The 14188-nt window shown below is 38.1% G+C and overlaps 1 protein-coding gene across 17 annotated transcripts in view; it reads left to right on the top strand.

The window, feature by feature from the left end:
• Nucleotides 1-4077, top strand: part of RPGR (retinitis pigmentosa GTPase regulator) — a 58347-nt gene extending 54270 nt beyond the window's left edge. For 15 of the 17 annotated variants that reach the window (NR_159804.1, NR_159807.1, NR_159806.1 and 12 more), the window contains one exon: nt 3408-4077. Coding sequence is in view for 11 of the 17 variants with exons in the window: in NM_001367249.1 (NP_001354178.1) it covers nt 3408-3614 (207 nt within the window). In the remaining 6 variants the exon portion in view is untranslated. Of the gene's footprint in view, nt 1-650; nt 930-3407 lie in introns of all 17 variants that reach the window. The other 2 variants (NR_159805.1, NR_159808.1) reach the window with 1 other exon arrangement.

Raw genomic sequence — 14188 nt, 5'->3', positions numbered from 1 at the left:
TTAATATACTACCTTTCCTTTGGTTAGCATTTGAATGATGATCTTCTTTTCATCCTTTTACTTTAGCTTATGTTTTAGATGTGTCTCTTGTAAATGGCCTATACAGCTGGATTTTGTCTTTGACATTTTTAACATGCATACCTAAAATCTAAAGCTCATCAATGTTCCTATCTTTTTCCCAAATAATGCCAGGACCTTAGAAGAATTTTCTTGCCTATCACCTCTTCTTTCTTATTTTAGAAGTTATGGTACCCAGTATTTAAAATTTTTTAACATCACAAATCGTATGTTTTTAGTATTTTTTATACTACTTTTTTACTCAGATGTCCCCTCTGGAATTCTTATTCTTCCTGAAGAAATATTTTGGAAGTTCCTATCACAGATGTCTGTTGACAGTTAAAACTTTTAGTTTCTGTTCACTTGAAAATGTCTTTATTTTACCATAGTTCTTGAATGATAGTGTGGCTCGTTGACAGTTATTTTCTCTTAGTATCTGCTCCCATTATTGCTGTCTATAATTTTGCTTTAGTATAATTGCTGATAACTTTGTATATAACCTGCCATTTCTCTATGGCTGCTTTTTAGATTGTCTTTGGTGTGTTTCAGTTCACTATGAGATGCTTAAGTATGGATTTTTTTTTTTTTTTGAGATGGAGTTTCGCTCTTGTTGCCCAGGCTGGAGTGCAATGGCGCGATCTTGGCTCACCACAATCCTGCCTCCCAGGTTCAAGCGATTCTCCTGCCTCAGCCTCCCAAGTAGCTGAGATTACAGGCATGTGCCACCATGCCTGGCTGATTTTGTACTTTTAGTAGAGACGGGGTTTCTCCATGTTGGTCAGGCTGGTCTCAAACTCCTGACCTCAGGTGATCCGCCTGTCTTGGCCTCCCAAAGTGCTGGGATTACAGGCGTGAGCCACCATGCCCAGCAGGTATGGAATTTTTAATTTTAACTTACTTGGAATTTATTATGACTCTTGAATCTGAGAATTCATGTCATTTGTCAATTTTTTTAAAATTCTCATCCATTATATATTTGAATATTTTCTCTCCCCTCTTTCAAATTCTGATATAAAACTTTTTATTTTATGGGTACATGTCTTTTAATATCACCTTCTTGTTTTCTATGTGTAAGTGATATTCTGGGTAATTTCAGGGCCTTCATCAATTTCATAGTTTCTCTTCAGCTGAGACTACTTGGCTATTTAACCTACCTATTTAAAGTTTTAATTTCAGTGATAACATCTTTCACATTTTAAGTGAAGTTGTATTTTTGTTCTTTTTCAAATCAATCTGGTCTTTTAAAATCAGTATCTTGTTTTATGCTTACTTTTTTTATTCTAGTCTTTTAATTTAAGCACACTTAGTTTACATTCTGTATTTAGTAATTCCAGTGTCATCCTTAGCAGTCTAAATGTGTGTTGCTTTGGCTGACTTGCTAATGGTGATTAGTTTCCATATGTGTTTTGAAATTTGTATTGTGAGTTCATGTTTCACTGGTACTTTTTTTGTGGAAATCCTTTAAGGCCTCTGTTAGAGTAAGTCTATCTATAGAGAGTTTGCATTAGCCTTTATTAGCTCTGGAGTGACTGAAGGACCACTTTAAGTTCATTTCTCATTTAAGGGTAGACCACAATGTTTGTAGGTAGACTTATATTAAGGGCATAGTACTTAGAAGGTCCTCACATTATGTAGGGGTCTCAGTTCCAGTTCCCCTCATTTTGTGAGATCAAATTGTTTCAAAGTTAAAAGTCTAAGTTATGAGTCAGCAGATGCTATTTCAGTTCTTAATGACCTCTGAGGCTTCCTGTTCCTTCTTTCTTTTTTGGTCTACAAGGATTTCCCTTAGTTTTTGGGGAGATTACCTGCACATTATAAAATTATATTTTTTATACTTAATCAGCATTTCTTGGTATTTTATAGTGGCAGTCTTTTTGAAGTTGTGTATTTCTTCACCATAGCAGGAACAGGAGTTCTTCCATTTTAATCCATAGATCCTTTTTCTAGATTCTTACTTTTTGGATTATCACTTTTTACCCTAGTTTCTCCACTCTTTAAAGCTAGAAGTAAGCTATTATTATTAGCACCATTTTTATTTCTGGAAGAGCCAAATTTTCACCTGGTTTTTGTTTCCTGCTTTTTGTTTTGGCATCTTGTCAAAACCATTATTTGTGTTACCACTCTTCAATAATCCTATTTTCTTCCTGGCTACATTCTCAAAGGGCCTAAATCAAATGAAACTTTTATCACCTTCATCTCTTCTGCATACATGCCCTGTTGGCCACTCCCTTCTTGATGTATTTTTCTCTCCTGACTTCTGAGCTGCCTAGTTTTCCCAATTTTGCACCTACAAACCTTGGTCCTCAGTTCTAGCTCCTCTTCTGCCTGCCTCTCACTCTGCTCTTTTTGCCTCTTTTCTTATATTCTGTTTTCTACCTGCCTGGAATCTCTGGGTTATCGGGGCTACTTTCATCTCTCAGCTATTATCTATATTCTACATATCTGCAGCCCCAGCCTCCCCTGAGCAGCAGCTCTGTATATTTGACTGCCTACTCAGACCCACACACAGGGCTCACACAGCCATCATTTGGCAGCACTGACTTTTTTTTTTTTTTTTTTGGGGACAGAGTCTCGCTCTGTCGCCCAAGCTGGAGTGCAGTGGCGCGATCTTGGCTCACTGCAAGCTCCGCCTCCCGGGTTCACGCCATTCTCCTGCCTCAGCCTCCCAAGTAGCTGGGACTACAGGTGCCTGCCACCACGCCCGGCTAATTTTTTTTTTTTTTTGTATTTGTAGTAGAGACAGGGTTTCACTGTGTTAGCCAGAACAGTCTCGATCTCCTGACCTTGTGATCTGCCCGCCTCGGCCTCCCAAAGTGCTGGGATTACAGGCATGGGCTACCGCGCCTGGCCAAGCAGCATTAACTTTTTTGCCAGAAGTTCTCATCTACAGGAATGGGGAGGTACATCGTCCTTCTTCAGAATATTACAATAGAAATTCACTGTAGCTGCGATACACTGAGAATCACAGACATGTCCTGAAAATGACCCCTCCTGGATACATTTAAAAGTTACAATAGGTAACTTTAAATAGGTTTTTATATATTTTTTCTCTTACAACTTAACAAAGTGAAACATTAAATTTGTTCTTTGAAGAAAAAGATATCACCAAGGTGTTGATGGTGTTGAATGTTAGACCCTGAGAGGTCTTGTTTTAGGGTGGAATCCTGACTGCCTTTTGGTGAAAGGAAAAACTCTAACAGATGCTAAGAATGCACCATAGTACATGTGGTGCCCCATAAAGAGATGACAAAATCATGTTCTTACGTGTTGAAAATGATATCCCCTAAATACTGTTAAGTGAATGTTTCACTTATGGAAATGAATATTTGTGTGTGTGGTTTTTTTCCTAGATTTTTCTGTTCAAAAGAGTCCCCTCAATAAATCAAAAGATTGTCAAGAATAACAATGAGCCGCTCCCAGAGATAAAATCCATAGGAGACCAGATCATTTTAAAAAGTGATAATAAAGATGCCGACCAGAACCACATGAGTCAGAATCATCAGAATATCCCACCAACAAATACAGAGAGAAGATCAAAATCCTGTACAATACTATAAATATATATTTATGTTTTCACAGTCACCAAGTGTATTGTAATGTATACTTGAAAAATGTTATAACTTATGAAGTAAAGTTTCTGATAGTAGTCTTTAAAAGATATAAGACTTAATATGTTTTATTCAGCTTCTATAAGTGTGACCAGTTTTGATATTTATTTATGCTAATATTTTTAACAAGTCATTTCAAAATATGTGTATCTCAAATTCTCCCTAAAGTGTTGTGGCCTTAACTGTTCAGTATTGCAATAAAAAATATATTTTTATATGTGGAAAATTGAAATAAGATATTTCCTAGTTTTTACTAAACAATTTTACTTCTTTATAATTTTATAAGGCAATATTTGCAATCTTACGACACTGTAACAGTTTTTGATGTATTTACAATTTTTACAAAACTGAGGTAAAATTGTTTATAATGAACATATTTTAATAAACTATATCTGGTCAGTTCCACTGTTAACATTGATAAGTATTAATAAAATTAGGAGGTACTTGGCATTAGCAATTGACAAAATGGGGGCAAAAATAATTTTAAAATATAGAAGTATGCAAAATGCATTTACCCCTGAGTAAAGAAAATTTCAGTGCAACTGTATAAATGGTACATCTGTGGAAAACTGAGTGCAGAAGTTTCTTTGCTTCCCAGCACTCCTTTCTTTTTTTGGAGATGGAAGCTCTCTCTGTTGCCCAGGCTGGAGTGCAGTGGCATAATCTCGGCTCACTGCAACCTCTGCCTTCCGGGTTCAAGCAATTCTTCTGCCTCAGCCTCCCGAGTAGCTGGGATTACAGGCACACACCACCACACTCGGCTAATTTTTGTATTTTTAGTAGAAACAAGGTTTCACCATATTGGCCAGGCTGGTGTCAAACTCCTGACCTCGGGATCTGCTTGCCTGGGCCTCCCAAAGTGCTGGGATTACAGGCGTGAGCCACCGTGCCCAGCCCCTACTCCTTTCCTTAGGGAAATGACTTGCCATGAAAACATTGCAGATTATTTGGTATCATCTGGAGTGTTTGACCATTCCACCGATCACCACCATAGGAGAGGTGAACATAGCTAGGCTTGCTCATTTCAGCTTTTCCTGGCATTGACAGTGGTAACCACATTTGGTTCAGTCACACAGTGCTCTGCCACAAAGAATAGGAAGGATAAAGCTGCTAAGTCTTGTGTCAGTCCATTTTTATGTTGCTATAAGGAATTACCTGAGGCTGGGTAATTTATAAAGAAAAGAGGTTTAATTGGCTCATGGTTCTGTAGGCTCTACAGGGAGCTTAGTGGCATCTGCTCAGCTTCTGGTGAGGCTTCAGTTAGCTTTTACTCATGGCAGAAAGCAAAGCGGGAGCAGGCACGTCACATGGAAGGCGAAAGAGGAAGCAAGAGGGAGAGGGTGGAAGTGCCACATTCTTTTAACCAACCAGATGTCACATGAACTCTGAGTGAGAACTCAGTCATTATGGGAGAGGAAAGCACCCAGGCATTCATGAGGAATCTGCTCCCATGACCTAAATACCTCCCACCAGGCCCCACCTCCAACACTGGGGATTACATTTCAAGATGAGATTTAGAGGGAACAAACATCCAAACCCTATCAAGTCTACTCTGATAGAAACATTGTTTGCTTATGCTCTCAGGTACTACTTATTCAACAAAGCAAAGTATCTTCATTTTCCCCATTCTAGCTTGTAAATAGAACACTTTATTCTTCAGTCACAGTGACCATTGCCCCATTTAAACAAAGAAAAAGAAACTTCATCTTTGCGTTTCGTGCACAGGGGTTGTAAGGATGTTAGTTCAGAATAGATGTGATTTTGAAATCTTAAAAAATAGTCTTCTGTGTAAATGTTACATTTAGTAGAATTTTAATTTTATTAAAGGTAAATATAATAAAAAGTGGCTGTTGCAATGATAGTACAGTATTGCAAAAATACTAAAATATAAACTATCAGAGTCAAGTGGAAGTAAAGCTCACAAGTGGTAGTAAGATATGCCAGTCGTGGTAGGCAGAATTCTAAGATGAACCCCAAGTTTCTCACCTGCTGGTGCCACATGCTCTCAATAATCCCTTCCTCATGAGTGTGGGTTGGACCAGTGAATATGACGGCATGTCACGTCTTTGCTTCGTTACATTATGTGGAAAAGATAAAAGATTTTGCAGATGTAATTAAAATTCCTTGTTAGTTGACTTGAAGTTAAGCAAATAAGAGATAGTCCTAAGTGGCCATGACCTAATCAGATTAGCCCTTTCTAAGAGGCTCTAAAAGTTTGACATGGAAGAAGTCAGAGAGATTCAAAACAGCAGAGATGCTCTCCTGTTGGGCTTGAAGAAGCCAGCTGCCATATTTAGGGAGAGGGCCATGTGCCAGGGAGTGGTGGACAGCCTTTAGGATCGGAAGTCCTCAGTCCTACAACTGCAAGAAATTTAATTCTGCTAGCACCCAGTGAGCCTGGAAGAGGAACCTGATCCTCAGATTGGACCACAGCCCTGGCTGGCACCTTGATTACAACTTTGCGAGACCCTGAGCAGAGGACCCAGTTGAGCAGTACTCAGACTACTGATCCATAAAAACTGTGAGATAATAAATACATGTAGTATTTGTCTGCTAAATTTATGGTAATTTATTGTGCAGCAGTAAAAACTAATAGCACTTGTATTATGGGAAAGAACCTGTCTGTATGGTGGCTTCCTTCATCATAGCCAGCAAGGAAGAGTCAATAGAGTCTGCTAACAAGACAGAGGTCATAATTTTAGGTTACATGATCATGAAAGTGACATCCATCTTTGCCAAATTCTGCTGGCTAGAAGCAAGTCACAGGTCCCACCCACACTCAAAGTAAAGTGAGGAGATAGCACAAGGGCATGAATACCAGAAGGCAAGGGTCATAAAGACCGTCAGAACCTCCCCACTGTACTGATCATTGGGCCGGTCATTCAAAAGGAGAAAGGGACAGCTTAGAGACCAAGGAAATCAAATAGCTTTTAGGCAAATAGCTTATTTCCAAAGAAAGGATTAAGTCAAAACACTTGGAGGAGGTGCATGAGACAAACCTTACCAAGCAGATGAAGTATCCCTGCTTTGTTAGAGGTCTCAAAACAATTTATACTTTTTAATAAGGTGGTTTGTTGAAAATCATCAACACCAAGAGATAATTTTAATAATAAGGGTAAATACTTCTATAAAAACATACCAGCCATCTGCCCTTGGGCTTTGAATACTTGTATTATATTTCTTTTCTAAATTTGGTTCCCTATCTGGCATTTACATTGAAGAAATACTTACCAAGTACCTCCTATATGCCAGATGTTATGCCAGAAACTAAGAAAACACAGTTACAGTTACATGTGAGTAAAATGAAGAAAATGGGGTGTGACTCTGATGATGAATAGGAGATATTATGGCAGTTTTAAAACCTATTTTCTAAGTGAATGGAAAGGAGATTAATGGACACTAAACTTGAAAAACAAACTAATATCTGAGAACTCTTTAAAAACACAGAAGAGATAATCAATAGAATTGAATATAATGATCAATTTTACTAGTTTCAAAAATAAATGGAGTTGCATTTACTGATAACTTATTTATTTATTTGAGACAGGGTCTTGCTCTGTCACTCAGGCTAGAGTGTAGTGGCATGATCTCGGCTCACTGCAACCTCTACCTCCCAGGCTCAAGTGATCCTCCCACCTCAGCCTCTGAAGTAGCTGGGATTACAGGCACACACTACCATGAGCAGCTAATTTTTGTATTTTTTTGTAGAGATGGGGTTTCGCCATGTTGCCCAGAATGGTCTTGAACTCCTGGGCTCAAGCCATCTGTCTGCCTGGGCCTCCCAAAGTGCTGGGATTACAGGCGTGAGCCACCATTCCTGGCCGCCCTTACTGATAACTTTATAGCTTTACAAAAAGTTAAATGATTTCTTCTAATCCTCAAACTACTCATATTTGTTATGTTTCCTATTCATTCCTTTCTCCTCTCTATAATGATACTACGTAAGGCTTTCTTACTGACCTTAATGGGACCTGAAAAATAGAATCCATTGACTTGAGCATTAGGGAGTCATTGACATTGTTCACTTATATTATGGATCAAATGTTAAATAGGTATTAATTTTTTAAATATCAGCAGTGGTAAGATTTTTAGGTCTTATAAAAGAGCATGCAAATCCATGTCAAAACATTTAAGATAAAGAAAATTTGGCATTTAAAAAGACCCTCCTTATATAATAAGAAAATGTAGTTTTGAAAGGTGCTTTTATGTAATATCAGTTTCCCAGGGCTGCCTTAACAAAGTACTACAAACTGGGTGGCTTAAAACAGCAGATATGTGTTGCCTCGCAGTTCTGGAGGCCAGAAGTCTGAAGTCATGGTGTTGGCAGAGCCATGCTCCCTCTGAAGGGACCTGGGAAGGATCTGTCCCAGGTCTCTCTCCTAACTTCTGGTAGTCTCAGGCATTCCATGGCTTGTAAATGTATCACTGGAGTCCTTTGTCTTCATACCATCTTTCTGTGTGTAATTGTGTCCACATTTCCTCTTTTTATAAGGACACCAGTCGTAATGGGTTAGAACCCACCCTAAGTATTCCTTTTAACTTGATTACCTCTCTAAAGACCCTGTTTCCAAATAAGATTACATTCTGAGTCACTGGGAGTTAGGACTTCAACATATCTTTTTGGGGGAACAAAATTCAGCCCGTATCGGTGCTTCAGTTTGACAGCTACACATCATACCAAGAAAACCCTTCAGTTGTTTATAGTGTCTAGTCTCCTAAATTATTTCTCTAGAGACTCTTGCTGAATCCTAGATTTTTAATGATATGTCTCCAGTGGAGGCTCTTTGTGATGTTAAAACTTTCATTTAATGTATCTCCAGTTACATCAAAGCAGGAATTTTCAGGGCTATCTTTTTCAGTATCCTAGACACAATGAGCAAGTATTAAATGTTAAATGATGACTAAACAAATGATCACATCTACACTTGTAGTGTTCAGACAAGGATTTGTTTCTCAGAAATTTGTACGCACATGCTTTAAGGTTAAACTCCATTTTTTAAAATACTTGCCATATGCTTCATTGCAGTACAATTCTGTTACCCATATGCTATTATAAATCCATAAAGGGAAAACAAAGTCTTTCCATGAGCAGGGAAGACCCTGTCTCTTCCAACAGAACACCGTCAGAAGCATCCAAAAGGGGAACATTTGGTCAACTAGTATTATAATCATCAAGGTTGGCAACAAGAAAGAAGTTATTGTCATAGACCTCTACCCACAGGAGACCCAAGTGGCAACAGGATTAGAGATAAGATGCAGAATAATTATTATGGGACAGAGCCATACTGATTTCTGTATTACGTTCCTCAACTTGAATTCCGAGATTTTCTGCCCACTTTGATTCTGTGAGGCAACCAAAATCGAAAGTATTTCCATACTTAATATTTCCTTTTGCCGGGGCCTGTGATTTAAAGATTTCTCATCTGATAGTAGTTGTTTAAAAAGCTTAGAGTACCGGCCAGGCTTGGTGGCTCACGCCTGTAATCCCAGCACTTTGGGAGGCCAAGGCGGGTGAATTACTTGAGCCCAGCAGTTTGAGACCAGTCTGGCCAACATGGCAAAACTCCATCTCTATGAAAAGTACAAAAATTAGCTAGGCATGGTGGTGCTCGCCTGTAATCCCAGCTACTCAGGAAGCTGAGACAGGAGAATTGCTTGAACCTGGGAGGCAGAGATTGTAGTGAGCCAAAGTCACACCACTGCGCTCCAGCCTGAGTGACAGACTGTTTCAAAAAAAAAAAAAAAAAAAAAGGCTTAGAGTATCTTTTTAGACAGAACTTTAACATGTGCTTTACTTTTTTACCTTGTAAGAATAAGAAACTAGCAAGTAAAAACAGGAGGCAAATCAAAAGGTTGGAAAATCTTCATCTCAGGAATGAGGGAGATACTTTATTGAATTGAACAAACAATGCATGTAAACCAGGAGTCACATAACTAAATTGTTTTCAGTGGCTGGGCAGGTAAGCACATTGGAGCTGCTGCCAGTCTGTTCTAGCTGGCAATTGCTCTGTTTCCCAGTATTGTGCTCTGATTGCCAGCCCCTCAGCTGTTTTAAAAAGAAGCTGGAAATCTGGGTTTTTATATGGATAACTCATTCACATACACACGTGTGCATGCACGCGCGCGCGCGTGTGTGTGTGTGTGTGTAAACTTAGAAAGGGCCAAGCCATAACTGCAGGCTAAATTTGGCTCTCAAGGGGCCAAGTTGTGACCTCTATTTTAAACAAAGTACATTATTTTGGCAAGAGAAACTAGTTTACAAGGAAAACATGTTGAAATAGGCCCTGGATTTATCTTAGTTGTAATCTTTCCTAATTTGATCTGAGATTTTAAGCATGAAATGAGAGTTAAAGAATTGACTAGAAAAGTGATCATTCTACTAAGGTAATTGAAGTTTCCTGTTGCATACAGATGCATACTAAGCCTTCTTTTGAGTGTGGGGAGTCAGGATCATGAGGTAGTGCAACTGTATTAAACAGTGAAGTAGAATGTTTCTGTTGGAAGAAGCTACAATAAAGTTCAGAGACAGCAGACAGACTTGATAAGCAGTCCCTCTAACAATTGTGACAGAGAACTACTTTGGCATAGTGTTACTGTACAATACTAATCACCGAAAACATCAGGAAATGTTATCCTAACCCTAAAAATATTCACTAAAACTACAACATGAAAACTTCTCTGGCACGGCAAGCTGCATTCCCAAATAGTTCCACTTGCTTCTATTTTCATCTGGTATGTATACTATGTATATTATAATAGATGAGATGTCTTAAGTAGCAGTGGGCTAGAGAACTGTATCTAATTTTAAGGAATGTGTAAGTGACAATAAGACACTTTTTATTTTTACTTAAGAAAGATCTTATCTGGTTCAGTGGTAAAAATCTGTCCCATCCTGGCTAACATGGTGAAACCCCATCTCTACTAAAAATACAAAAAATTAGCTGAGTGTGGTGGCAGGCACCTGTAGTCCCAGCTACTCAGGAGGCTGAGGCAGGAGAATGGTGTGAACCTGGGAGGCAGAGCTTGCAGTGAGCCGAGATCGCGCCACTGCACTCCAGCCTGGCTGACAGAGCGAGACTCCGTCTCAAAAAAAAAAAAAAAAAAAATCTGTCCCAAGGTGAACACCTTTTTAATATTCTAGAAAATCTTTTGAGGTTTAAAAGCAGTCTGTCCAAGTAATTTGTTCAGAACCTGTCAAAATAGTATTACACTACTTTTAAAGTTTTTACAGAATTTCCCCTGTGGACACAAAGGTTATTACAACAGCAAAGTTTTCTATTGTATTGTTTTTAGCCTATAATTACTTAAAAATCATTAAAACTCTGTGCATATGAACATTTGATTTTATATTTTTAGGTAACATATGTTACAACTTGCCATCAGATTTATATTAACTCCTTAATTATTGCAATTATTTAATTTACTGCATATAGCAATTAATTAGAAAATTAATATAAAAGTTTAAACCAATTGGAGAAAACTTTAAGCAAAAGATAGACGTATAAGTTGGTTTCCTCAGTAATTACTAGATAAGACTTTAGAAATGAAAGCTGGAAAATTTACTCTAAATATGAAACTTGTTTATTTAAAATTAATCTGTTGTGGTTTTTAAAAACTTTTTTATTTTGAAATATTTCAAATATACAAGAAAGTATAATATAATAAATACCCATGAACCCATCACATAGATCTTTCACTCATACTTTGCTATGTTTGCTTCATGTTTTAGCTAGACATCCTGACATTCCAACCCTAAATATATCAGGATGCATTTCAACAAATGACATTTTGTGCATTGTCCTGTGTAACCACAGTGCTCGTATCTTGCCTAACAAATTTAGCAATAATTTTCTAATGTCAACTGCTACCCAATCTCATATTCACATTTCCCTTGCTTTTCTCAAAATGTCTTTTACAAGCTGGTTCATTTAAACTGGAAATCAATCAAGGTCCATGCCCTGCATTTGTTTGTTAGTCTTTTAAGTCTCTTTCAATCTAAAAGAGCTCTTCCCATATTTTTTTCATGGCATTGACATTTTACAAACAGGGACAGTTGTCTTGTAAAATGTAATCATGCATTTAAAAGCAAGTGTCTAGGTTTCTAGTAATTCCCAGTAAGTGACTCAGACCATCCTACCACTGGGAACAGATAGAAAATTTGGACTAAAGTATATATATTAAAACAAATTTGAAAGTATCTGAATGCTATCAGGACAGTAAAGAATTATGAGGTTCAGATCACCTGAGGTCAGGAGTTCGAGACCAGTCTGGCCAACATGGTGAAACCCCGTCTCTATTAAAAATACAAAAAAATTAGCCAAGTGTGGTGGCATGCGCCTGCAATCCCAGCTAATTGGGAAGCTGAGGCAAGAGAATCGCCTGAACCTGAGAGGCGGAGGTTGCAGTGAACCGAGATCGAGCCACTGCACTCCAACCTGAGCAACAGAGCGAGACTCTGTCTAAAAAAATAAATAAAATAAGAATTATGAGGTCAAAATTTGGGAGAGAAATGAAGCCCAAATAGATGTGCTTGGCACATGGGGCTGTTTTTCACCAAGAGGTATTGGTTGTTTCTGAAGTTTAATATTTTCAAGGAATTAATACAAAAGAGTGAGGATTTTAGTAGAAAATGGAAGCTGTGAAAAAAATAATGAATTTTAAATTCTAGAACTAAATACAAACAGTAAAATTAAGACATCAGTGTGTGGATTTACTGATACATTGATGGAAAGAAAGTAAACTGAAAGAGTCCAGAAGAAAATATGATGTGAGAGACAAAATGATGCAAAATACAAAAGATAGTTGTTGAGATATTTGTAGTAGTATGACAAGGTCAAATATATGTGTAATTAGAATCCCAAAAAGAGAAGAGAGAATAGAACAAAAGCAATAGTTGAAGAAAAATTTCTGAGAACTTTTCAGAATGAAAGGCCACAGCCCAAAGACTCAAGAGGCACTAAAAACCCCAAGCAAGAAAAATATAAAACAACACTAATTCATAATAAAATTACTTAACACCTGTACTAGAGTGTGACTCCATTGGTGATGTTCGTTGACAACTTTTAAGCCCACTCCTCCGTTTCCCTCTGCCCTACATCTGGGCAAGCTAACAAGAAAGCTCAGGTGCTCCCTCCTTTGGTAGTAGCTGGAAGTTCAAAACACTCAAGCCTCAGCCTGCATGTGGGAACCTTTATCCCAGCCCCACCCCTCAACTACCATAAAAATCCCAAGCCAGTCTTCTCTATTTTCTCAAGACATTTTTCGACCAGCTTAGGATGCGTGCATGCCTGCTTTCCCCAGTAAGACTCATTATGTATGTAATAAACATTTTCATACCTTCTGGATGCGTATGTGACATCATCATAAGTAAATCTTGTGTTGGGGGGAAAATCCATTTCACCTCTGTGAGGTGACCACAGCACCACCAAACATAAAAATATTGAAAGCTGTCAGGAAGAATGGCATATTTAAAGGAACACTATGAAGACATAACTGACTTCTCAACAGAAACTGTGAAAGCCAAAAGGTAATGTAATTATTTTTTAATGTAATGAAAGAAAACAGGCCATGTGTGGTGGCTCATGCCTGTAATCCTAACACTTTGGGAGGCCAAAGCAGGAGGATCACTTGAGCCCAGGAGTTCGAGACCAGCCTGGGCAACATGGCAAAAACCCATCTCTACAAAAAAAATACAAAAACTAGCCAGGTGTGGTGGTGTGCTTTTGTAGTCCCAGCTACTTGGGAGGCTGAAGTGAGAGGATCGCTTGGGCCTGGGAGGTCAAGGCTGCAGTGAGCCAAGATCATGCCACTGTACTCCAGCCTGGGCAACAGAGTGAGACCCTGTCAAAAAAAAAAAACTGCCAAATTAGAATTTCGGATCCAGAGAAAATTTATTTCAGAAATGTAGGTAGCAGAGACATTTTAAAACAAAAGGTGATATTTCAAAGGGATACCTGCACCCCCATGTTTATTGCAGCACTATTTACAATAGCAAAGATATGAAATCAACCTAAATGTTTATTAACAGATGAATAGATAAAATGTGGTGTATATATACACAATGTAATATTATTTATCCACCAAAAAGGATGAGATCCTGTTATTTGCAGCAACATGGATAGAACTGGAGGTCATTATGTTAAGTGAAATAAGCTAGGCACAGAAAGACAAATTTCACATATTCTCACTCGTGTGGGAACTAAAAGTGTTGATTTCATAGAGATAGAAAGTCGAGTGATTGTTACCAGAAGCTGGGACAGGTGCATGGAACGAGGATGAAGAGAGGTTGGTTAATGGGTACAAACATATAGACATAAGATGTACAAACATATAGATAGAAGGAACAAGTTCTAATATTCAATAGTAGAGTAGGGTGACTATATAATTAACAACAATGTATTGTATATTTCAGTATCGTTAGAAGGGAGGACTTGAAATGTTTCCAACACATAGAAATGATAAATACTTAAGGTGATAGATCCCCTAAATCTGACTTGATCATTACACGTTCTAGGCATGTAATA

Source organism: Homo sapiens, chromosome X, assembly GCF_000001405.40.
Source record: "Homo sapiens chromosome X, GRCh38.p14 Primary Assembly".
Classification (NCBI taxonomy): Eukaryota; Metazoa; Chordata; class Mammalia; order Primates; family Hominidae; genus Homo; species Homo sapiens.
Note: the sequence above shows the minus strand (reverse complement) of the source record. Positions and strands in the feature narration are given on the sequence as shown.